This window comes from Homo sapiens, chromosome 3 (genome assembly GCF_000001405.40).
Source record: "Homo sapiens chromosome 3, GRCh38.p14 Primary Assembly".
NCBI classification, from domain to species: Eukaryota; Metazoa; Chordata; class Mammalia; order Primates; family Hominidae; genus Homo; species Homo sapiens.
Window position 1 is genome coordinate 124,241,205 of NC_000003.12, and position 23,507 is coordinate 124,264,711.

General features: G+C 43.5%; 1 protein-coding gene across 32 annotated transcripts in view, besides 2 other annotated features; it reads left to right on the plus strand.

Annotated features, from left to right (window-relative positions):
- KALRN (kalirin RhoGEF kinase) overlaps positions 1–23,507 on the plus strand; it is a 692,957-nt gene that overhangs the window by 207,836 nt on the left and 461,614 nt on the right. For all 32 annotated transcript variants that reach the window (XM_006713810.4, XM_017007429.2, XM_011513279.3 and 29 more), the window contains exon 4: positions 23,294–23,486. In XM_006713810.4, the coding sequence (XP_006713873.1) occupies positions 23,294–23,486 (193 nt within the window). The remainder of the gene's footprint in view (positions 1–23,293; positions 23,487–23,507) is intronic.
- Positions 6,633–7,832: an enhancer, noted in NCBI's record as "BRD4-independent group 4 enhancer chr3:123966684-123967883 (GRCh37/hg19 assembly coordinates)". NCBI's record gives its function as "activates an origin of replication core promoter dependent on BRD2, P300/CBP, MED14 and CDK7 cofactors, and independent of BRD4, by STARR-seq in HCT116 cells {active_cell/tissue: HCT116}" and the evidence as "EXISTENCE:reporter gene assay evidence [ECO:0000049][PMID:35650434]".
- Positions 16,291–16,350: a silencer, noted in NCBI's record as "silent region_14652". NCBI's record gives its function as "represses an Ori minimal core promoter by ATAC-STARR-seq in GM12878 lymphoblastoid cells {active_cell/tissue: GM12878}" and the evidence as "EXISTENCE:reporter gene assay evidence [ECO:0000049][PMID:35858748]".

Genomic DNA, 23,507 nt, shown 5'->3' on the forward strand with positions numbered 1-23,507 from the left:
TTTTGGGAGGTATAGTTCAGCACATATTTTCATAAACAATATATGATTTACTTTTCTTGTTTTTGAGCTTTATAAGAATGGTATTGTACATTGTGTAGTTTTCTGTGACTAGCATTTCTGAACTATTGTGATGTGCAACAACATGGATGAATCTTTAAACATAATTTAGAGTGAAAAAGAAGCTAAGGTTTTGACTCTGAGAACTCCAAACCAAATTATTAATAGATTAATGCAGTGCTAAAGTGTCTCTTGAGAAGTTTCTCTTAGCTAACTGAAATAAGGAAAATTAATAATGATTACTTTTCTCCATACTTTAGAATAAATATCATAATTTGTGTCAATATCAAACAAAAAGTAAAATTCTTTTCAATTTATTAATTATTGGTATTAAGTAAGATAAAGTATATCAAGTCCTTACATAGTGCCAGGTACACAGTAGATTCCATAAACATTTGGTTGCGTCTCCTTCTATGGTCTGGGGAAGTCTAGCATGTGCATAATTGTGGGGTAGCACCCTGAGTTAAGTGATGAAATAGAGGGTTGAACCCAGTGCTCTGGCCTTCCAGCATGTGGAACATACAGCCTCGCTGTTGACTGGGAGTGGGGAGACTTCAAAAGAGACGTGAGCAGCATTTAGAAGCCCCAAGATAATTTTGCTAAAAGCACGAAGGGGTAGGAATGGGCCAGTCAGAGGGAAGGGCTCAAAGGAACACTGGGGGTGGGCAAAGGAGATGAAGGGGTGTCAGGTTAAGTTCCAGAAACTCAAGATGTAGAAACACATAGTCTTTTGGGAGAATGGCAGAGGATAGGGCAGAGAGGCATGTAGAATTCTGTGGGTCTAGTTCAAGAAGTTAGTTACTAATAGGCAATAAAAAAGCCATTGAAGAGCTTTTCAGCAGGAGAATGACAATTAAAATTGCCTTTTAGAAGATTCACTCTGGCAACTGAGTGGAAGATGAAATGGAAGAGAAGGCTAGGCAATGGGGAAACAGTTCCAATAATGTGGCTTAAAGACAGTAAAAGTAACAACTAGCATTTATTAATCAATTCTAGGCACTGTTATAAGTATTTTACATGCATTAACTTAATTCTCAACAACACTTTGAGAGGGGAATTATCATTATTTCCCTTTTACATATCAGGAAACTGAGACGTAGAGAGATGAAGTACTTGCCTACTGGCACACAGTCAGTATGATCTGGAGCCAGATGGTCTAGCACCAGAGCCTAAGCTTTTATCCAGTGAAGAGATGAGGAGGCCAAAGTGAAGGAAGTGGCAGTGGTGGCAGAGTGAGAGGACTGATTTGGGGAGAGTAAGAAGGTGAACTCTGAAGGATGGGCTAAGACTGGATTTGGAACAGAGGGACAATGGAAGAGGGCGGTAGGGAAGGGCACCAACACAGAGATCTAACAATGGTGGGCAGGGACCACTACGCTTCAGACTTCCTTTCCTGAAGCTTCTCTTTGGAACCTAAGTGTGAAGGTTGCTGCAGGTGAGAAATACAGGTGGTAATTACCTCAGTTTTGGGCTTCTGCTGGCCAAGGCAACCATGGTGGCTGTGGATATGCAGGACAACAGGGGTGGTGAGGGTGGTGGTGGTGTTGGGGTCCTTCACAGTTCCTCCCCCAGGTGTTTGTGTTCAGTTTTAGATGCATTAACTCTCATTTATGCTCATCTGTGGGTGATAGTCAACCATGATTTAGTTACCAAATTATACCAAGAGATGTAGGGAGAAAACAAAAGCACTTAAGACCATAGAAACTATTTAAAGAGATTAATGAAAGACTATCAGTAGCAGGGACCCCGAGCTTAATGCCTACATTGGTGGGGTAGTCTCTATCGTATTCTAGCGATGATCATCTTGTTCATTTTCCTTGAGTCCGAGATGTTTCCTTCACCCACCTGCCTGTCTGTTTCTATATTGGCATTGCTGTAGTGTCAGAAGTACAATTCTGGAATTAGTGCTCAGTTAATGCACATTTTGAGGCTCCTTCATTTCCATGGCCATGCCACCATTGTAGGACTTGGCAGGTCTGTGGGGCCTGCACAGTCCATGTGGGGCTAAGGGACTACAGGGGCTCATGGAAACGCTGTGAACAGGGACAGGTTGTAGGGAGTGGGGAAGAGCTGGCTATCATGCTTCAAATGCGGAGAGACACATTTGTGATTCCCTGGAGAACAATAACTGGAGCAATCAGAGGCGGAAACCACTTGGTCATGAAGTAACTATGAGAAGCAGCCCTGGTTATTCCAGGAACCAGTAAGTGCCTGTAGCGATAAATCAAGGACCCACCCAGCACTGGACAAAAGAATTCCTAATAAGTGAGGGTAGTGAGTCTCCTTCACATGCATATTCCATGTATACTCTCAGAAGGGGCTTTGGGCATCAGCATTGACTTGGTGGGAGTGGAACAATAGCAGAGAAAGAATGGGCTGCAGGGAAAAATGCTGACACCTGGAAATTATGTAGGGTATTCCAGTCCAGGAAGAATGAACCCCAGAATCCTCCCCTCTGGGAGGTGAAATGCGCATGCTTGCTAAAAATTTTCTTACCTATAAAATAGGCATAAAGATATTACCAAACACAATGGTAGTGAGGATTCTGTGAGATAACACATGTAAAATGCCTAGCCCATTATTTAGCTCACAGAAGGGGCTGACAACAACTGGCAGTTTCTTTCCCTTCCCTTGCTTGAAAGTAGGGACCTTCTTTTGTCACTTGTCCTTTATTGTCCCTAGCACTGCTTTTTCAAAGTTAGGGTTAGGGTTATGCTTAAGTTTAGGATTAGAGCTAGTAGTGATAGCAGTTACAGCCATAGGTCAGTAACACTTCACTTCTAATACGTAATGAATGAATATATGTGCCTAACAGTGTGACAAAGTTTTGGCCTATATTTTTAAATTAGAAAGATATTTCTTTTACTGGAGAAAGTAAGTGCAGAAAAAATATTTTAAGAGTTTTTTAAAGCTCTTGTAACTGCACCACCTAGAGATAATAACAATATATTAACATATTTCCTTCCTATCTTTTTTTAGAGGTTTGTTTTTTTGAGACGGAGTTTCACTCTTGTCACCCAGGCTGGAGTGCAATGGCGTGATCTTGGCTCACTGCAACCTCCGCCTCCTTGGTTCAAGCGATCCTCTTGCCTCAGCCTCACAAGTAGCTGGGATGACAAGTGCCCACCACACGTCCAGCTAATTTTTGTATTTTTAGTAGAGATGGGGTTTCACTATGTTGGGCAGGCTGGTCTGGAACTCCTGACCTCAAGTGATCCACACACCTCAGCCTCCCAAAGTGCTAGGATTACAGGCGTGAGCGACCGCGCCTGGCCTAGAGCTTTTTAAAAACAGAAATGGACTGTATTGTTTCTTCAGTTTTGCTGCTTGCTTTATTCCAGTTAGCATTATACTATAGGAATATTTTCATAACATTAAAAACTTTTCATGTGTAATAGTGTGTCTTGGGATGCATCATATTTAATTAACCATATCACTGGGCATCTAAGTCGTTTCCAGAAGTTCAGTGTTGTAAGTAACCCTCAGTAAAAATCTTTTTATGTAAACCTTTGTCTGTATCTTAAGTGGTTTCTTCGAGATAAATCTGTAGCAATCATGGGCTTTTTTTAGTTGTTACATATATAATTTTTTTTTGCTTTTTAAAAATTGATACATAATGTACATATTTATAGGGTGCATATGATATTTTGATAGATGTATACAATGTGCAGTGGTCAAATCAGAGGCATTGAGATTTCCATCATCTCAGAAATTTATCATTTTTTTTGTTGGAAACATTCCAAATCTTCTCTTATAGCTATTTTGAAATATATTATAAATTATTGTTAACTAGAGTCACTCTACTGTGCTATCAAACACTAGATCTTATTCCTTCTATGTAACTGTATTTTGTACCTATTAATCACCCTCTTTGTTCCTTCTCCCTTCTCTTCCCAGCGTCTGGTAATCATCATTGTATTTACTACCTGTGTGAGTTGTTTTTTTCTAGCTCCCACATATGAGTGAGAACACACAATATTTGCCTTTCTGTACCTGGCTTATTTCACTGAACATAATGTCCTTCAGTTCCATCCATGTTGCTGCAAATGATAAGATTTCATTCTTTTTATGGCTGAAGAGTACTCCGTTGTGTATTTATATCACATTTTCTTTATCCATTCATCTGTTGATGGACAGTAAGGTTGATTCCATGTCTTGGCTATTGTGAATAGTGCTGCAGTAAACATGGGAGTGCAGGTATCTTTTTGATACACAGATTTCCTTTCTTTTGGCTACATACCCAGCAGTGGGATTGCTGGATCATACGGTAATTTTATATTTATTTTTTTGAGAAACCTCTGTACTGTTTTCTGTAGTTGCTGTACTAACTTACATTCCCACCAACAGTGTATGAGTGTTTCCCTTTTTCTGCATCCACCTCAGCATCTGTTATTTTCTGTTTTTTTTTGTCATTGTTGTTGTTTTTTGTTTTTTTTTAGTAGCCATTCTAAATGAGGTGAGATGATATCTTATATGGTTTTGAGTTGCATTTCACTGATGATTAGTGATGTTGAGTATGTTTTTCATGTACCTGTTGGCCATTTTGTATATCTTCTTTTGAGAAATGTCTATTCGGATCTTTTGCCCATGTTTTAATCAGATTACTTATTTTATGAACCTTTTTTTAAAGCTGGTGGGACAACTCACCAAATTTATTTCCAAATTTATCAATTTATACTCCCAGTATGACTTGCAATGTTTGTCTTTCTGTGCCTGGCTTATTTCACTTAACATAATGTCCTTCAGTTCCATCCATGGTCATGCAAATGACAAGATCTCATTCTTTTTATTGGCTGACTAGTACTCCATTATGATTTCCTTTCTTTTGGCCATATACCTAGACATGGGATCGCTGGATCATATGGTAGTTTTATTTTTACTTTTTGAGAAACCTCCGTACTGTTTTCCAATGAGATTTCCTATTCTTTGCATTTCCCTAAATTTATTTGCTCACCATTGCCCAGGCACCATTGTGCAAACATTCTTATCACCATCATCAATGACCCTAACTTAGGGCCATATATTGTGTACCTAAACCTTATCCTGACTTTGGAAAGACTAAAGGGATTGGTCACAGGGCCTGCTCTGCAGGGCCTCCCAGGCAAGGATTCCTTTTACTTTCCTAAACTAATATGGCCCCTTAACAGGGAGCGCACATTAAAGTTAGGATCTGATATGAAATCTAAAAAGGGCTTGCTTGTTTTTTTTTGCCCTTGGTGATTCTTTAGTTTTGCCTCTGGATGTGTTTCAGCTCCTTGGCTGGTTGTGTAGTCAGTTCTGGCATGGCTTAAAGTGGTTAACCTCTTTTGTGTTTATCAGAACTGGTGTCCTTATCTGCCTTTTATGGAGAAAGGCCTTTCTGGGCAGCAATGTTGAATGAGCCTGGAAAGCCTAGATGTGGTCATTTAATTTCTCTTTTAGGCTACTGTTGTCTATGGCTCACCAAGAGCAGGCTGATTAGGAAGCTGAAGTGTCTGGTGTCACCTTGATTAGGTCAACTTCAATGTCAGGTGAAATAAGATCCAATGCATTCAGGTGTTTCTGGAGTTTGTGGTAGGTAATCAGGATGAGTTAAATTTAGCTGGGATTCATTTGGCTGGAATATTGAAAATAAGAGAGTTCCCTGAATATAGATGCTGGAGAGACAGCCTAGCATCTGGGGAAAAGGATGTGTTTTTCAGTTATGGGGATCCAGATTTGGGGCTGTTTCTCTTTCCCCCATTACATATCATTTTCACTGTGTTTTCTATTTCTCTCTTTACTTATCATTGGTTAAGTCTGATTATGTGCCCTTCACTGATGTTTGGGGTTGAGTATGTTTTCAGGCATATATTTGATACGGACACTCTATGTTACGACACTTCAGTTTTGTAGAGACTGCCTTTATTGTACACTCTTCTGGCAGTTTAGGTGTGCTGCCACCAAGTGGTAGAGTACCTGAGCTCAGTTGCCCAAGAAGACATAGATGGGTTTTGTCAGAGGCTCCAATGGTTCTATTCTGGTTCTCTCCTCATTAAATCTGGGATTTTCCAAGCTTTACTGTTTAAAATTTTATTGAAACACTGAAATTTAAGCAACCAATAAGCAAGGATTACTCTTCTTCAACTACAAGTGAGTTTGATACAATCTTTCTCAAAGAACTGTAGTAAATGATAGATAAAATAATGTTTGTGAAAATGTTTCACCTGCTATGTTGAAACTGGGAATTTTATAATAATGCTATTTTGGGGATATAAATAGTGTGGTGTTTCTATAATAATTCTTTTTAAAATAAAATCAAATTTAAAAAAACTAAAACACTAACAAAAAACATTCCTGTTGGTTTTGCCTTCATCTTTGGTAGATCTGAAGTTGCAGTGCCCCAAGCGAACTTATCTCTTGGAGCTCCCACTGTCCCCCTGACCTTTTTCATCAGCCACAAACATTGAAGATAAAACATTGAAGATAATTTGTCTTTTCAGACCTTCCTTTCCAGACAATATTTTCTTTCTCTCAACATGGAAGATGAGTACAAGAAAAACAAAACTATCTAGGGTTTCTGTTGCAGAGAATTTAGCTTGGGTGTAGGCACTCATCAGTTGCAGAAGATTTCTGTACCAGTTTGCCTCTGTCACTTGTATTGAAAAAAAAAAGTCTCCCCCTCGCCTTCTCCACCCCATCTCATGTTTTCTTAGATTGCTTTAGAAAAAAAGATTTATTCAGAATTTTGTTCTCAAAAGTCCAGCATTACCTAAACAAAACAAGTGATTTGAACAGCATTTAAAGATTTTTGAATCTGGAAAACTCATATAATGGGGGTGAGTCCCATCCCTTCTATGAGATCTGAGTGTCCTGAGAGAAACCACACAACTTTCTCTCTGATAGGTGGTGAACCTCTTGCAGGTTGGAATGGTTGGTTTTGTTTCTTGCCCCTGAGGGTGTGGAGCACCACCTTGCAAACTGGCTGAATTCAATTAGACTGGAGGCTCCCCAAGGAAAAAGGAGAGGGCTTCACCCCCCCCATACTCCTTAGGGCCAATGCCGGGATCTCTATTTCAGACATGAAGTACCTGAGGCCAGACTGAGGTTTCCTTCAGGAGGTTCTCTTTCCTCTGTCCGGGGCTGTGACCACAGGGGGTTACCCAGGCCAGAGGTGGGTGGACTGGCACTGTGGCAGAGTGGGGCAGAGCCTTCTGCCAGGGGACGGAGCATGGATGTACCTGCGAGGGAACTAGCAGTGGACTCAGTCTCACCAAGGAGCTATATTCTTGTTTCTAAATTAAGCAAGTATGACAGCCAGCCCCATTTCTCCTGGAACTTAGATGGGAGCACTTTGTCAGCCATGGTGACTCAGCAAGGATGAATGTTTTTCGGATAATTTACTGACGTAATTCAAGCATGTGTCCTGATGGCCCTGGCCCCTCTTTCCTTTTCTCTCAGAGCCTCCTTCCTCTCTGCATTTCCCATTTGTTCTAGGTCAAGTGAGGACCAGCCTTGGTTTTGAGAGCTACTAAAAAACTCTAAAATCAGTACATTTTTCTCCCTTGCATCTCCCAGACTGTTCTGTCCGGAGCTGGAATTTTATCTGTTTCCATCGCTAGTAATGCATGTGCCAGGTTTTGGCCTGGTGCCTGAGACAAGGTCTGAACCTTGTCCTGTGATGCACTCCACCCTGGTTCCCTACACAGGAAGAGAATGTCCTGGATCTCCAGACCATAAGCTGTTTTCCTTTGCAGGAAATTCAGGCTTCACCCTCATTGGCTGAAGAGAAACTCCCTGTTTTGAACTTGGAGGAAAGCAAGACCATTCCTCACCCTCTTGCAGCTCTGACTATGAAGGAGTGCTGCATTGGGAAGATTGCACATTGGTTCAGATTTAATTCTGTGGATACACAGGACACTTGTTTAGTTCTTACATACACACAAACTCAGAGGGAATGGTCAAATGATCTCTTGGCTGAATTTGCAGATTAATGGGGTGGGGAATGGGGGAGGGACCCAGTTCTTGCCTTCAGGAGGTTTGTGGTCTGGTTAAGGTTTCAGAATCCACAGGAGAAGACAAAAACTGAAAGCTTCCAAGGCAGCAGCCACACAAGCATGTCAGTTAAATGGACGTAATCAGACATAATTTACTGGTGGTAAAAATCTGACCTGGATTGTAAAGGAAATAGATGAATTGGAATTCTGGAGCTTAAAGGCAGGAAGAAGCTGTAGAGGTCTGCCAGGCCAACTCTTTCTTTTAAAAAGAGTAGAATGCTGTCTAAAGGGGTCCAGTCATGGGCTCAGGGTCCTCCAGCTGGCTAGGGTACCAGTCCTGAGCTTGCTGCAATCATACATACACTGCCCCCTAACATAGACCCTGCCTGTGGGACAGCAGGGTGCCTAGAGCAGCATGCACAGGATAAGGGCCTCTATGAAGTCATATGTGGAGGGATTCTTCCACCCTATATGTGAGCTTCCTGAGCTTCTGAGCTAGTTATGCATGGGGGCAGCCTAGTTTATTCTGATTTGGAGCAAAGACCTGGAGCCCTTGGTCCTCCCTGTTCCATTTCAAGATCCAAACATGCAAGCCTTCACCTCCCACAGGGCTCCCCGACTCCAGCTCTTTGACCTCCCTTGTAATTCCCAGGTTCCCACTAGTGTCTGAGCCATCACAAGGTTTTTCCTCCATGTAAACCATGGGGATCTCATCAGTCCCCTCTGCCAGGGCAACCCTGGCTGTGTGTCAGAGGGAAGGCAGGCTAGCTAGAGGGTAACAGCCGCCTGCCCTGCAGGAAATAGAGCTCCTGCACTGGTTGGTAAAACCCAGTGGGCATGGCCTGGGGGGGGTGGCTTTGTGTGGCGTGTTGCATTGTGTGTTGGTGGGGATGGTTGTGCATGTGTCTGCGTGCTGCAGGCAAAGAGCACTGGGCTTTCAAGAATGTGACTGCTACTTAAGGAGAAAGAGGAGGAGGGAAGGAGAGGAGGTGTGTGCAAGCCACAGCAAGGACTGTTTCCTGGAGGAAACATGTGGTTTATTAATGAGGATTCCACCTGGCCTGCCAGGAAACCAGAGCCCAGCTGGAGAGTGTGTGGGGGTTCCTGTGAGAGGGCAGGGAGAGGTGGGGGTGTGACAAGAGAATGAGGAGTGGTGATGGCATGGTAGTAGGCCAAGCCTGGGAGAGTTGCTGCTCTGTCTCCTGGACAGGTCGGGTGCAGCACCTGAGTGGGAGGCAGCCCATGGCTGCACTGTTGCCATTTCTCTTGAGTCCCCTCAGCTCTCTTCTCTTACTCCACGTTTTAGAAAGGCTCCTTGTGTCTTACAGTGGGGTGGCTGAGGCACTGTGCTTAGACAGGTCACAGTCTTTGTCACAGATATATGTGCTATGATCATAATGATATTTTTTAAAGTTAAAAGATGAATTGTTTTTCATATAGCCTGACTAAGGGGAGTGGGGAGCGGGAAAGAAGGAGAGGGTAGAGAAGGCCAGAAGAGAGTACCTTGGGGGTTGTCTGAGGAGGGCTGCGGAAAATGGGAGGGCTATGTGGGTTTTGGTTTCCAGTTCTTTCTTTCCCTGTAGTGCTTTGGTTTCCATTTCATTTCTGCTGCATGTTCTGAATGGCCCAGAAGGAAGGGATGAACAGCTCTGTGAGGGAGGGTGGGAAATAGGGCAGGAAGCTGCTGTCCTGAAATGGATGTCAGTTTCCATCCCACTCCCATCTGAACCCACCCCTTTGCCACCTTCTCTCCCTAGCCAGCTAGACCAGACTCTAGGAGCAATGGTTCTTGTGCTTTCACAGTTTTCATGTCTTCTCTTGGCTAAGAGTAGCTCCTTCCAAACAAATGCTGTGCTCCCAAGCCACTCTGATTCAGAAAGTGGGTCTCTTCCTTTGGTGAACAGGAGTTGTGTTTCAGAGCCTGTAAGGCTGTAAAATGACCTTACTGATTGACAAACCCATCAGGGTTTATGCAGCTGCCTCATGCTGGTCCCTCCAAGGTGTACATCCTTTGGAAGACTGCGTGCATTTGCCTGATCCTGCTGTCACCCCCGCCATTCCCGGAGCTCTCTTTGGGAGCTCCCTTCAGCTGTGGGATGCTCTTTTGACTGTTTGCGGCGTGGCATGGCAAGTCTTTGCTTTTTTTTTTTTTTTCTTTTTTTCTTTTTTTTTGAGACAGGGTCTGGCTCTGTTGCCCAGACTGGAGTGCAGTAGTGCAATTTGGCTTACTGCCACCTCCACCTTCTGGGCTCAAGCTATCCTCCCACCTCAGCCTCCCTAGTAGCTGGGACTACAGGCATGCGCCACCTTGCCCAGCTACTTTTGGTATTTTTTTGTAGAGACGTGGTTCCAACATCTTGCCCAGGCTGGTCTCGAACCCCTGAGCTCAAGCAAGTCGCCTGTTGCAGCCTTCCAAAGTGCTGGGATTACAGGCGTGAGCCACTGTCTTTGTTCTTTTTGAGAGGACTTGATTTGTAGAATATTTTGTTTAAAGGCAGCATTGAAGACAAGTTGGGATTTGGATGCAGAGATCCCGCTGAGTGATTTTAGGCCTCTGGACCTGTCACTTTATGGCTATACCTGGGAATGTTGGGTGTGACCCTGGGACCTGAGTCTGTGCTATTGAATACTTTACCACACTCTGCCTGGAAGAGAAAAAGAGAAACCACCACATCCCTGTTCCAGGTGTTTGCAATGAGAGGTCTTTTTGTTTTTGTTTTGTTTTGTTTTTTAATAGTATTATTTGTGTAGAATTAGGTAGCAGACTTTAAAAAGGTGGAAACTATCAACCTTCCTCATTTGGTCTGCAGTTAGGGTTTCCCTGGGACTCTGATGGGCAAGAGTTGGGTTTGCTTCTGGCACACTTGAGGGTGAGGAACTGACAAGGAGTAGTTCCTAGACCTAGAAATAGGCAAACAAATCTCTACAACTTTGCCTTCAGTGGTACTTAACCATGGCTGCACATTAGAATCACCAGGGGGAACTTTTAAAAATGATCGAGTCCAACCCCAGACCAATTAGTCAGAATCTCCTCACTTTATAGACCTGGAATAAGGCAGTTGACAGTTAGATGCCTGGTCCAAACGGCTAAGATATCCAGCCGACTGTGTGACCTAAAGCAAGTCACTTCCCGCCTCTGAAACTTGCTACCCTCAGTTCTAACAGGAGGAGCTAGCAAGAAGAAGCATGAATGTTTCCTCAAGATCAAGTGTTCTACGCATCTATGAGGCAAGATAGCATGGCAGTTTTATGCACAGATACTGAGTCAAACCACTTTATAGAGGAGGACTTGAAACTTAGATTTAGGATAAGATACTACCTTTGCACCACCCCACTGCCCCCACTAGCCCTGGCATCACAAATCAGATGTGCAGAGGCAAAAGATGTGTTGTTAAATGGGTAGAAAAGACACTAACTCTTTGGAATAATAACCTGGGTAAGAGGCCAGAGGGTGACTTCCAGTACAAACAACAACAAAAACCTCTGGATGAATTAACGTAGATTCTGAGGAGGTCTTTTGGCAGCTGGATTACAGCTTGACAGAAAGACAGCTGGTGGAGAACAGTCACCCATGACCCAGCGGAGAGAGCGCATGAGCAGCACAGGGAGCCCCACCACCTCTCTCCTGCCTTCTGGATACCCAGCCATCCAGGAGGCCTCCCCATTTTAAAGGACCAGTTTGAGAACTGTCTGTGGGAGCAAACATTCATTCAAAACCCATTCCTAGAGAGCGGCTCATTCTCTGTAAGACACTGTCTCATCCAATATTCTCTTTACTACTTCTGATTATACCAATTAGAGAACTTAAAGCAGGTGATAATGTGTCTTTAACACTTTTCTTTAACACCTGCTGATCTCTGGTGTTTCAGAAAGTGGGTGTGGCTTGGGGCAATCAGCAGAAGTACAGAGGCAGTTAGAATAGCCCTGAGGAGCAGAAAGCAGCTTAACATAGATCAAGTAATGGGCAAAAGTTTGAACAAAGTCTAGATCCCACAGCCAGAGACTCTCCACATGTCTGAATGGCTTGAGAATTCTGGCACAAATGGGTCAGGAGAATTGTTTTCTCTACAGAACTCCAGGAACCTTTCTTTCTCCTCAAATTTGGAAGAACTCAGTTTATGTAATGATTTAGGGTAGACATGGGTGCAGCACAGTTCTGGGAGAAAGTGTGAAGTGGATACTTACTTGGGGCTACTTTTTCTTCCTCCCTTTTCTGGTTTCTGTCTGCCTATGGTGAACGGTCTGCAGGTACTAAAGGCTGCCCAGGCATCATGGATAAGACTCCTCCCGATCATTCCTCCAAGTCATCCTGCACTGTCAGCCCTGTAGGACCAAAGCTGTGCTATGGCAGGGCCAGTGCCACCCTCATTAAATGAGGAACTCTTAGCTTGCCTTGTCCTTCTTCTCTGTCAGCCACTCCTCAGTGACCAGGCTAGCTCTCTACCCGTGTTCAGTTTGTCACCTTCCCTGGACATCCTAGTGAATAGGTCTTATTTGAAGGTTAATTGTGCTCCATCACAGCCCAAGCACTAGGGATTCCTGGTCCTCACACTAGGATTCTGACATCTTCACACTGCTGATACCCTGAAACACACACCCAGGCCAAAGGAACCAGCCCCCAGCAGCACACACTAAGGAGGTAAGCAGAAATCTTCATCCCCCTGACTGGTCTGCTGGAGTGGTGCTTGTTATGGGTCTCTGCTTCCCCACCTGCCATCAGAATGGATCAATGTGATCTTTATTCCAGCAGCTGTTTTAAGTGGGAATCTGCCAGACATTCATAGAAATGGGGTAGATCTCAGGTGGCATCACATGAGTGGGGGCAAACAGGGTCAGGCCATTTCTCTGCTGCCAGAGCACAGTGGAAACCATGAGGAGGATGGTCCTTATTCCTGAGTTAGGGGTTTTAGTACTCACACAGGATACCCTGGGCCTCCAAGCCAGATTATTTGATGTTTGCTTCTTCAAGGGAGGATTTTTCTTCCTGTCACTTCCAGAGTTCTCATGGTTTTATAAAAGACCTGGAGTAAGGCAGTTGACAACTAGATGCCTGGCCCAAATGGCTAAGATATCCAGCAGACTGTGTGACCTAGAGCAAGTCACTTCCCACCTCTGAAACTTTCTACCCTCAGTTCTAACAGGAGGAGCTAGCAAGAAGAAGCATGAATGTTTCTTCAAGATCAAGTGTTCTATGCATCTATGAAGCAAAAAAAAAAAAAAAAAAAAAAAAAAAATTGTAGTTTTATGCACAAATACTGGAGTCAAACAAAACAAGATTCAAATCCTGATTTTACCCTTTCCTTGTGACTGTAAGCAACTTCTCTGAGCCTCAGTTTTCTTAACGGTAGGGCAGGATAATAAATAGCAGCTACTTATGAGTTTCATCTGAGGAATTCATAAGATAATGTATATAAATGTTAATACAGAGCCTCATGTGTTCGGTAAGTTAGCTTTTACCACTAATATGTGAATATGTCTCATTTTTACCAAAAAAAGTTGCCCCAAATTTCAGTAGTTTGGCTCTCATTGTATATGTCTATTCAGCTGGAAGATTTGAGGTCCTCACGATTTAGAGGGCTAGCCAAGATGTAGCTGCTGGTCTCCTGCTTCCTTACCAAAGTTCATGATTTCTGCTTCCTCCCCTGGCTGCAGTGGAGGAGCAGCCAGCATCCAGGCTGTTTGACTCCTCAGGGCCTTTGCACAGGCTGTTCCCTCTGTCTGAAGTATATATATATATTTTTTTTTTGAGACAGAGTTTTGCTCTTGTTACCCAGGCTGGAGTGCAATGGTGCGATCTCAGCTCACTGCAACCTCCGCCTCCCGGGTTCAAGCAATTCTCCTGCCTCAGCCTCTTGAGTAGCTGGGATTACAGTCTCCTGCCACCACACCCAGCTAATTTTGTATTTTTAGTAGAGACAGGTTTCACCATGTTGGCCAGGCTGGTCTTGAACTCCTGACCTCAAGTGATCTGCCCGCCTCAGCCTCACCAAGTGCTGGGATTACAGGCATGAGCCACCGTGCCCGGCCTCTAGTATTTTTTTAGTGTTCCCCTAACAAATTATTTCTTATAGTTTCAGTCTTTGCTCCTCATGTGGGCTGTCCTAAGAAGTTCTTAAGACTTATCATAACTTGCATTTATTCTCTTTATCTAGCATTGTCTTGTGTCCACCTCTCCTTCTAGAATGAAACTTTCATGTTTCTGTCTTGTCCACATTTATATATACCTGGTGCCTGGTACTGGGCCAGCCACAAAGTAAATGCTCAATAAATGTATGTTGCATGAATAAATTAATGAACTAATAGATAATATGGTGCATTTATGTGACACTGTATTATTTGTGAAGCACCTTCATAATGAGGTTCTCCTTTTGAAGCCGTATGAATCTCTGTAAGGCTCTAGAAATTGGTCAACCAGAGCCTGGCTGTAGATACCCCACAATAGCCATGACAGTTGCCACGTGGGAAAGCACAGGGTCATGGCAATGCATAGGAAGAGCCCCTTATCCCAGTGCAGATGGAGCAGGGTGGGGAGGGAATGTATCTGTAAGAGAAGACTTCTTGGAAGAAGAGGCTTGTGAGGCTTGTGAATGTAAAAATGTGAGTAAAAATTACCCAGGCAAAGATGGGGTTGGCGTGGGCAAGCACAAAGGCATAGAGGCATGAGAGGGCAAACTGAATATAAAATTGAAACTAATAAATGCATTAAGAGAGGCATGGATAATGTGTTGTCTGTTTTAGCGAGGAGGAGATTGCTCTGACAGAGGATGATCAGGCAATAATGTAGAAGAAAGATCAGGAAAGAATAGAAGGTAGCATTTGAATTTAACCCTGTGGTCAGATGATAATGGGCGGTATGCAAGGTGGTTCACTCATGTGGCCAGGGGAGAATCCAGAGAGACACTCTGGGATTTGCTCAGACAGGAACCTGGAAAGAAGTTCAGGAAGAAGAGATTGGAAGTCAAGATGGGAGAAAGTGGCATTTGTCTCCCTAAGGCCAAACTGTAATGTAGGACAAAGCTTGGCCTGGGGTTGTCATTGACAGGTGCTCAGCCCTGCTGTCTGGGTCCAGAGAGACCTGTGGCTTGAGGCACTGGTACCCTAATTGCCCCCTGCCCCTGAAGTGGAGGTAATTGAGTCTCCTAAAGTGTGAAACAGAGCTGGGATAATAGTAGCAACTAAGACAGAGAAGGCAAATCCAAAGGCCAACAAACTGGTTGTGTAAGTTTGTAAATGAGCGGGGAGTGGCTTGAAGAGTGGTTTTTAAGCCTTCTCCAAAGACATAAAAACTTTACAGACAACAACAACTGTGCCTAATAAAACCACTTTGGGGGATTGTCTTCAATAGTGGGCTGCTAAATTGTGATCTCTGCTAGGCTACCATTAGTGAAAACGATCAGTTGTGACACGCCTATTCATTCATTCCTCACACACCCACCCACCCACAGAAGCCCTCTACACCTGGATCTATCAGACCTGGAGCCAGCCCAGTGGGTCAGGAGATGACTCTGTGGGCATCAGGTGTGGGCAGGACCTAACATGCACCTAGAGAGACACCCAGGCCTTGCCCAGAAGTTTGAGATGTGGCTGCCAGGTCAGGTGTACGACAAGAAGCAGAAACCTCGCAGTGATTTCATGGCAACTTAGAGAGGGGAGCCAGGGAAAGCAAATCTTCAGTAGGTGTCTGAGCACATGCAGCAATACTGGGGAGGGAAACTGCCAAGCTCTTTAGGGAAATCCTCATTAGGCCAAGAGGAGGAGCTCAGTCTTTGCAAAAAGAACCAGACATTTACTCCAATGGCAGAAATCCTTCCAAGCCTATTCTTGCAATAAATGACTCCACTGGAGAGACCCTGAGGCCATGGAGAGAGAAACTAACATTTTCAACAGGCTTCTGTATGGTGTAGTTGTTGTTCACCTTGCAGATGTTGTTCTGACTTATTTCATTGTTACTCTATCTATTTGTGTGTTACCTACTATTTATTAAATGCATATTGTAATATCTGATTTAGACAAAGTGAGTTTTTATCATTAAACTCTCAAAAACCACACCTAAGAGTGCTTAACTGTTGTCCTTGGATCACTATGGGGAGAATCCTGAGCTTTATCCCAGACCAACATTCATCAGAATATCTGGAAGGCTTCCCCCAAATCAGCATTTTTAAACAAGTGTTCTAGGTGATAAAGAAAGTCACTAAAGTTTGAGAAGCATTGGCATAAAGTGGTGAAAGTGCTTTTCTGAGATAGCACAGGCTTACTAAGTGAAAACGGCCCCAGTGGCATTTAATGAACAAAAGAGGAAATGGTACAAGAAACAGCTGATCAATCATCCAGTCATTTGGTATACATTTATGACTTCTGGGCCCAAGAGCCCTGGAGAGTCTATGAAACAGAACACAGCTCAGTTTGAAGGGATTGTAATTTATCACAAAGGGTGAGAACCTGGCCAAGGGGGCCTCAGGGGACCCATGGCCCAGATGGGAAACTATAGGGCAGGGTGAGCACAGGGGAGACAGGGCAGTGGCTGCCTTCTCCCTCTCAAGTAGCAGGTGTGGGAACAGGAAGGGGGTCACCCACTGTTCTTTCCCCTCCTGAGGGGATTTAAAAGTCTGCTTTGAAAAATATTTTTAAATAAAAAATAAGGATATAAAAGTCTGCTGCTCCAAACTTCACCCTCCTATGCCCCCGTCCTCACCATACACAATGCAAACTTCTGCCCTTGAAAGTTTGATTTGGGCTAATAAATATCTTTTAAAAGGTAAATCACCTAAAGGAAAAAAAGCAGGCTACCTGTTAGTTATGTTCCACTGTAAACGGGTCTGCTCAAACTGCTGTCATTTGAGCACAGTGAATGAGAGAACAGCCTTGGGGAAGAGGGCAGGCTGGGGAGCAGCTGCGGGAGTTGGTTGGCCAGAGAGCACCATGCAGACTCTGGCCACTGCTGGGGTTGGGGAGACAGAGCCAGGGGGTGGAAGTGCACCACAAGCAGCCTCTGATGTCTGTGGCACTTCCTGCTAATCATTACAGAGATTAACCAGGAAGACTGCTTCCTTGCTCCAGCATTTATTCTGGCCCCAGCACCCCACTGAAATTTCCCTGACTCAAGAGACCGTGGCCTCTTGGTTGCTAAGTACAATAGTTCTGCTCTTAGTGAATGACCAGTCTCTCTGCAGCATTTGACACTGTGGTTCCTCCTTGCAATCCTCTCCTCCCTTATTTCTTTGACGTCATTCCTCTCCTGGTTCTCTCTAACCTCTTCATTTTTTCCTCAGGGTCATCTACTTCCTTCTCCCACCTCTTAAACACTGATATTCCTGTCAATTCTATTCTTGACTCAGAAGATGGTTCTTTTCCTCTTCCTGGATTTTGCTGGGGGATCTCACCCACTTGTGTGCACATCAGCTACCACCCATTCGGGGATCTATTCATTCAGCAAATGTTCTTGAACACCTACTATGTGCCAGGCACTGTGTGACTCCTGAATAAAAATTTCCACACCAGATTTCTCTTTTAACTTCCAGACCATATATCAAATTGCCTTCAGAATTTCATATATGTATGAAATATACAATTGGCCCTCTAAATCTGCTGGTTTCACATTGGCAGATTCAACCAACCAAAGTTTGAGACCTGCTGATTCAGAGAGGTGGCTGTACGTATTTTCCATCAAGGATGGTTGAGTACATGGATGTGGAACCCACAGATATGGAGGGCCAACTGTATACAATTTATATTTACATTATTATTCATAACACTGTAATAAAAATAACTGTCTTAGACTGTGTTTAATATGACAGGGATTTGGATACAAATGATTTATTAAGGGTCTGCTATTCAGGAAAAACTTGTAAGAGACTGAAAGAAGCAGAGTTAGGAAAGGGGAAAAACCAACTAAGGATAGGTGAAGACTTCAGGTGAAGTCTAGCTGGAGCCTTCTGGGGAGACTGGGGAGGCGGTGAAAATGCATCACACTTCAGAGTTACTCTGCAATGAGGTAAAGGAGCTAGGCTCTGACATACCTGTACCAGACAGGCACTTGCTAGCCCTGGTGTGGGAGTATAACTGCCCAGGTTTCTCTTGGAGAAGCGTAGGCATCAGCTAAAGCAAGTATTCAGAGATGGTTACAGGCATCAGCTGATAGCTCCAAAACTCTTGGAACTGGAGAAAAGGCATAGTGGTTAGTAAAGGGACCCTGGGTGGACACCAGTGACATCTCCTATGGCAGCTTAGACTTACACAGAACAGTCTGTGTATGGCACCATCCTAAGTGATTTATGTCTATTAGGCTTTAAGACAACCCTGTAATTATTATTCACATTTTACATTGTGGGAACTGAGGCACAGAGGGGTTCCACAGTAAGTAAATGATGGGGCCAGTATTCAGGCCTAGGAAGCTGGTTCTAGTTTTCATACCCTTAGCTGCTGCCTCCCCTTCCTTGTTTGCACCAGGCACTGTAGTAGGCACTGAACATTCAACAGTGAAATGAATAAAAACTTCCTGCCCTTACTGAGGTTACTTTCCAGTGAGGGAAGATGGACAGTAAATAAGTAAAACATATTATCCAGATGGTAATAAGTGCTAAGGAGAAAAATAAAGAGAAGGGGTATAAAGAGTGCCGGGTGACAGTTACAGGTTTAAATAGGGTTGTCCATGGAAGACTTCCTTGAAGAGTCATTTTAGCAAAGACCCTTCTTCTACTCTTACACACTCCTTTGGGCTGACCCCAGTTTACCCTCCTTCTGCACAGTTGGAGGGTAATCTGTCTGAATCACCTGATCATGTTCCTTCTCTGAATCTTACCCTTCAGTGCCTTTAGGACAAATCCACTGCTCCTGCCTTGCCATATGAGGTGCATTCTGATTTGAAGCCTGCATCCACTCCAGTCTCGTCTCTTGCAAGGCCTGATTCTAACATTGTGGTGCCTAGGGCAAGAGTACAAATGGAAGCTCACATACCCTTTGTCTGAATATGTGAAATTAATGTAGCAAGCTAACAAACTGTTAAATAAAACATGTTCTGTCCTTCTACCTTGACAAATATATCTTCACAGCAACCTAGGAGGCCAAATTTAAATTTAGATTTGTTGGACTCCTTTGAGCTCCCAGGCCCAAATGTGGCAGCACAGTAGACCAGCCTCCACTCATGCTCTGCCTGCCTTCTCTCTCCACTCCCTAGCTCAGCCCTACATGGCAGGGGGACCTCATGCATTCAAGTGAACACCCCAGCTCACACATTTATATTCTAGCCACATCCTTGCAAATAGCAGCCCTTTGCCACCCCTCAGGCTTAGGGGTACACATAATGGTGGTGTTACTTGCCCTTGGGAATTGGACCCTGGAAAGAGATACCCATGGGCCCAGGAAGTAGGCTAAGGGTCCTTTGGGCGGAGAGTATTAGGGTTTCAGATACTAGGAGCTTGGCCTAGAAGGGGAAGAGGGATGTGCAGCACAGACTGTATGTGGGTGAGTCATCTTGGCTCCTGGGGTGGAGGGGGTGGGGTGTGCAAAAAGAGGGACAGAGCCCAGAATGGGACTCTCCAAGGCACTCAGAGCTGCACTCTCTTGCATTCAAAGGCCTGAACCAGAGTTAATCACTTGAACTTTCTCAATATGCCATGCTCTTTTGCTTCTCTGACTTTGTGGTTTTTCACAGACTCCAGAAGGGAGATCATTCACTTAGACTCCTTGCCCTAATTTATCCCGTCTCCTCTGAGTCCCCTAACTTAATCCCCTCATCTCTGACCCCCAACTCCTGTCCCCAAACAAAAACACCCACACATAGTGTCAGTGTGGTGGGTTATAGTATGATATAGTAACCTGAGCTTGGGTTTTCTTTTTTTTTTTTTTGTATTTTTGAGTAGAGATGGAGTTTCACCACGCCGGCCAGGCTGGTCTCGAACTTCTGACCTCAAGTGATCTGCCCGCCTCAGCCTCCCAAAGTGCTGGGATTATATGCGTGAGCCAGCCTGAGCTTGGGTTTTCAAGTCAACAGTCCTGGTTTTGAATTTTCGCTTAGCCACTTACTAGTTATGTGATCTTAGGCAAATTTTATGCCTCCATTTCATCTTCTGTCACATGGAGATAACCATACCTAGTTTATGAAGTTATTGTTAGGATATAATGAAATGATGTATGGCAAATACTGAACTATAGCCCCAGCACAGAATGAGCACACAATGAAATAGTCGTTTCCCCTTTCCCAGCTATGCCCCTTACTTGAAACCAAACACACAAAGCACCTTGGAAGATTAGCCTGTTTTCACAGAAAGATGCCAATTAGATTAGGTCACAGCACTCAGCTCCTGGGCCTCTTTCTCCATCTCCTGAGTTATTGAGAACCTCCTACGGAATATTAGGACCTAATTTCTACTCTTAGTTGTCAGAAATGATTAGTTAACAGGGCATAACCTGCTACTGACCACCAGCTTTGGATGCTGGGATTGTTGACCTCCAGCTCTTGGTAGCAACACAGAATATTTGTTGTTAGGGACAAAGAATTCTCAGGTCAGCATAATTACAGCAACAGAGATGGAGTCTGAGGAGCAGGAAAATAAGGAAGACAATCATCTCTAAGGAAAGGCAAGACCCACAGTTAACGTTGCCGAACCTGACATAGTTGGGCATGCAACAAATATAAGTTAAGCTAAACTAAATGATGCTCAGTGAGAAAACTCCTAAATCCCAATAGAAAGCCACTAATCCCTGATAGAAAGATGGACAAAAGAGCTGATCAGGTAATTCACAGAAGAAATATTTACAGGCCAAAAAGCAATAACTAGTAATCAAAGAAATGCAAATTTAAATATAATATAATATATTTTTTAATAAAACGGGCAAAGATTTTAAAAATTCTATGACCAGTGCTGGTGAGGATACAGGAAGGGGGTGGTACTGTCATACACTGCTGGTGGACATGTAAGTTGACATACCTTTCTGTAAAACAATCATGAGAATGATCAAATAAGTTATGGTATAGGCATAAGATGGACTATCACTAAATGCAACAGATTGGAAGAAATTTTAGACATGAGAAAAAACTACGTTACAGTGAAAAGTAGAACAGTATATGATATGAAAACTCTACGCACAGAAAAGGTGGAAAGGAAATAGGCCTGGGTGTTATAAAGTCCTACCATTAGCATCTCTTGCATGGATCTTTGACTACTTCAACTTTTGTGTAATTATCAGGTGTTTCTCTTATAATGGGAAAGAAATCCTGTAATTTGGAGAAAAAGTCACATTGCTTTAAGACAAGAAGATAGACAAAATTATTTATGGAAAGCTTCGGCCACTCATTGTTTCAATAAGTGTCAGGGAAGAAGAGGCAACTCCTTTCCTTTGGGATGCAGGATTGGGGAGAATACTCATCCTTTCTCTCATGCTGGAGAGAGTCGCCTCTCCTGGGGACTTTTCTATGTACCAGGGAGGCCTAAGTAAGCTGCCTTGTGCTTGAGACACTCACATAGTCAAGAGCTGTGGTCTCTTAATGAGGCTGTAACAATCTCATCACTGGTTGAAATTTAAGAATAAAGCCCCCCAAAAAGGTTTTTATTTCTTTTTGTGACCTGAATCCTTCTGTGGCCTTACTGCCAGCAGCTGTAAGCAACTGATATGTGGTAGGCACATATGTGGGTCAGGTAACATACATAGTGGTTTAAACAAGTGCAGTCTGGGAAATGGGAAATTAAGTGAAAGACCCTAAGGAAATACTATGCTGGTATTTATATTTTAAAATGTGAAGTAACCAATGTCTATTTTGAATTATAAAATAAACGGATTGGCTTTAAAAACATAAGAGAAGGAAAGACCCCTAACTACCCAAACATAGACTTTCTTCCAAACTGAGATGTTATAACTATTCTGACCTTCGTTTTTTTTCTTCCTATTCTCAGGAGTTATAGTCAAAGTTCAAATGTTTAAATAAACTTTGCTACTAAGTTATATAGCAACATCTTGATTTATTTAGCCTGCTTATGTCTTGGTTTTCAAGATGGTCACTGTCACTTCATCTTGCCTTGATTTCAAGAGTCACTCCTCCCCCATCGTCCCTCAACATCCTGATACGTGCATTTCACACTGTGACTCTTACAATGGAAATACATGAAACAACTGGTCTGCATCTTCCATTCCAGTCAGTTCCACTCTTGGCTCTCTCTGAGTGATCAGCATGACTCAGCGATCTGATTTTTTAAGCTGACTTACATTTTAAACCACAAAGCTGGGCATGGTGGCGCAAGCCTGTAGTCACAGCTACCTGGAAGGCTGAGGCAGGGGGATCATTTGAAGCCAGGAGTTTTGAGACTGTAGTGCACTGTGATTGTGCCTGAGAATAGCCACTGCACTCCAGCCAGTGCACATAGCGAGACCCTGACTCTTTAAAAAAAAAAAAAGTAAAAAGAAATAATAATAAACTACAAGTAATACATCTTAAATACAATGGTGATAAATACATGTTATTCATACTTTGTGTACCATCTCTCATCAACTGGCAGAATCAACATAGAGCCTTTTTTTGAAAAAGTATTCTTTGGCCCAGTTTGGGCTTAGTGGCAAGATGTACCAGTGCCTGTCACTGATGTGAGCACAGGGCAGAACAACACCCCTGTCAAGGACTTTCCATCTCAGGTTTAAGAGGCAACAGGGTCTCTGTCTTTAGAGAACTGGAATTTCAATGGGGAAAACATGATTCATTTTAGGAACAAGAAAGGGAGACAAACATTAAAATAAAAATCAAATACAATTGTGAATATCCAAATTGTAAACATCCCAACAAGTACAGTTGACTACAGGTTGGGTAGCTCCTATCCAAAATGCTTGGAACCAGAAATGTTTTGGACTTTGGATTTTTTTTTTTTTTTTGCGGTGGAGGGGAATGTTTGCATTCTACTTGCCGGGTGAGTATCTCTAATCCGAAAATCCAAACTCCGAAATGCTGCAACAATCATTTCCTTTGAGCATCATGTTGACCCTCTTAAAGTTTCAAGTTTTGGAGCACTTCAGATTTTGGATTTTCAGATTAGGGATACTCAACCTGCGTAAGAAAGGCCAAGTTATTTGCCAAGTGCTGGGAGAAGGCAGAATGCCAGGACCATTGGTCAGATGTAGAAAGGGTTTTCTAAGGCAGTACAGTTTGAGCTGAGTTTGAAGGTGGCCAAGAGACCTGGCATGAAGTTGAAAGAGTGATTCTGGTCAAGGGGAGTGCAGGTTTCCGGGTGCTTTTTGACTGTGTACTCCAAAGTCTCAGCTACCCAGAGTGACCATACCGACCTCTGACCTCCCCACAGTGAGGACGTGTGCAAACGTGGCTTCACTGTCATCATCGACATGCGGGGCTCCAAGTGGGACCTCATCAAGCCCCTCCTCAAAACGCTGCAGGAAGCCTTTCCAGCTGAGATCCATGTGGCCCTCATCATTAAACCCGACAACTTCTGGCAGAAACAGAAGACCAACTTTGGCAGCTCCAAATTCATCTTTGAGGTGAGCCAGATTTCTCTCTCT